Genomic DNA, 2,690 nt, shown 5'->3' with positions numbered 1-2,690 from the left:
CCAAAATCCGAGTGTTAAATTTATTCTTCATACTCTTTAGGTTTCTGGATTACCTTGCATGGTTTAATTTGTTTTACATCTTGAAAGTCTCTCCTAATTTAATTCATATGTCATTAAGCTGGTTTCCCACCTACTTTTCTGAGATTTTTTCTGGTGGTTCCTTATCTCTCTGAACTTTAGATCTTGATGTCCTTTTAGTATCCATTTCTGTTTTCTTATCTGTTCACACTACATGCTGCATTTTGAGTGTATTTCATTCACTCTTATGCTGCCATAAATTCTTATTAAATCATAAAATGCTCAGGCATCAGGTCGTGTTAGGAATAAACGTCATGGGACAAGAGAATATAGAGCCAGAATTGTTCCATGCAAGAACTCATTAAAAAAAATCTTCCACCCCTGGTCTCTGGGAAGAGTCAGGAGGTAATATCCAAAAGGCAACTGATGCCAGGAATTAGGGCAAAATATGATCTAGGAATTGTGGAAACAGCAACAGGAATAGTAGCATCTAAGGAAGAAGTTGGATGTGAATTGAGTGATGCCAGAATCCAGGTTGAGGACTAAAAGGTGACACTATAGGAATTATTTAAAACAAAATCCCTTACCCTAAAATCACCCAGCCTTTAAGATATCATACTGACCTTCAGGAGTCAAAAACTAGAAACAAAATCTAAATGTAAAAGAAAGAGATTAGTAGGAACAGTTTGAATTCCCAGATAATAATGATATTTTTTAAAAGTTAGTATAACTTCCAAAGATTTAATATTAGTTTGTTCTTTCAATGGGAACACATGTTCATTTGTATTTGAAAGAAAGATTGGGAGATTTCTTCAATAACTTATATTCTTGTCCTGTTGATTTATGAAAGGAAAACTCAGCTATGCTCTTAAGCCTCTTTAGCGATTTTTTAATATATTCGGGATCATATGTGTAAAAAATAGAGTATTTCTCATGAACACAAATGAAAAATCCCCAACAAAATACAGTAGTCCCCCTTATCTGTAGTTTCACTTTCTGTATCTTTGATTACTTACAGTTGACAGTGGTCTGAAAATATTAAATGGAAAACTTCAGAGATAAACAATTCATCAGTCTTAAATTGCACGCTGTTTTGAGCAGCGTGATGAACTCCTGTATTGTTCCGTTCCACTCTGCCTAGGATGTGAATTATCCCTCTCTTCAGTGTATCCACCCTGTATATGCTACTTGCCTGTGGGCCACTTACTAGCCATCTCTGTCATCAGATCAACTGTCACAGAATTGTATTACTTGCGTTCAAGTAACTCTCATTTTACTTAATAATGATCCCAAAGCACAAAAGTAATGATGCTGGCATATTGTTATAATTGTTCTGTTTTATTATTCATTATCATTATTAATCTTAGTGTACTTAATTTATAAATTAAAATTTATCACAGGTAAGTACATAGGAAAATACATAGTATGCACAGGGTTTGATACTATCAGCAATTTTAAGCATCCACTGGGAGTCATGGGACATATTCCCCTGAGAATATGAGGGGACTACTGTATTAGCAAATCAAATCCAACAATATACTAAAAGAATTCTGTTCCATAACCAAGTTAGATTTATCCCAGATATGCAAGCCTGGGTCAACATTCAAAAATCAATGTAATTTATAGGGTTTGGCTCTGTGTCCGCACCCACGTCTCATCTCAAATTTTAATCCCCATGTGTAAAAGGAGGGACCTGTAATCCCCACATGTCTAGGGAGGGAGATGATTGGATCATGGGGGCAGTTCCACCATGCTGTTCTCCTGGTAGTGAGTTCTCACGAGATCTGATTGTTCTATTAGTGGCAGTTTCTCCTGCTCTTCGCTCTCCTGCCACCTTGTGAAGAAGGTGTCTGCTTCCCTTCCACCATGATTGTAAGTTCCCTGAGGCATCCTCAGCCATATGGAACTGAGAGTCAATTAAACCTCTTTCCTTTACAAATTACTCAGTCTCAGGGAAGTTCTTTATAGCAGTGTGAAAACAATCTGATACAGTAAATTGGTACCACAGAGAGTACAGCACTGCTATAAAGATACCTGAAAATGTGAAAGCGACTTTGGAACTGGGTAACAGGCAGATACTGGAACAGTTTGGAGGGCTCAGAAGAAGATAGGAACATGTGGGAAAGTTTCAAATTTCCTGAAGACTTGTTGAATGGTGTTAATAAAAATGCTGAGAGTGATATGGGCAATGAAGTACAGGCTGAGATATTCTTAGGTGGAGATGAGGAACACATTGGGAACTGGAGCAAATGTCACTTTTGTTATGCTTAACAAAGAGACTAGCAGCAATTTACCCCTGCTCTAGAGACTTGTGGAACTCTGAACTTGAGAGAGATGATCTGAAATTAGAACTTATGTTTAAAAGGGAAGCAGAGCATTAAAGTTTGGAAAATTTGCAATTTGACAATGTAACAGAAAAGAAAAACCCATTTTCTGGGGAGAAATTCAAGCCTGCTCAAAAATTTTATAGGTAACCGGGAGCTGAATGTTAATAACCAAGACAATGGGGAAAATGTCTCCAGGGCACGTCAGGGAATTTCACTGCAACACTTTCCATCACAGGCCCAGAGGCTAGGAGAATAATATGGTTTCTTGGGCTGGTCCCAGAGCCCCGCTGCTGCTCTGTGAAGCCCCAGGACTAGGCACCCTGTGTCCCAGCTGTGGCTAAAAGG

The sequence above is a fragment of the Homo sapiens genome, chromosome 9, assembly GCF_000001405.40.
Source record: "Homo sapiens chromosome 9, GRCh38.p14 Primary Assembly".
Taxonomy (NCBI): Eukaryota; Metazoa; Chordata; class Mammalia; order Primates; family Hominidae; genus Homo; species Homo sapiens.
Note: the sequence above shows the minus strand (reverse complement) of the source record.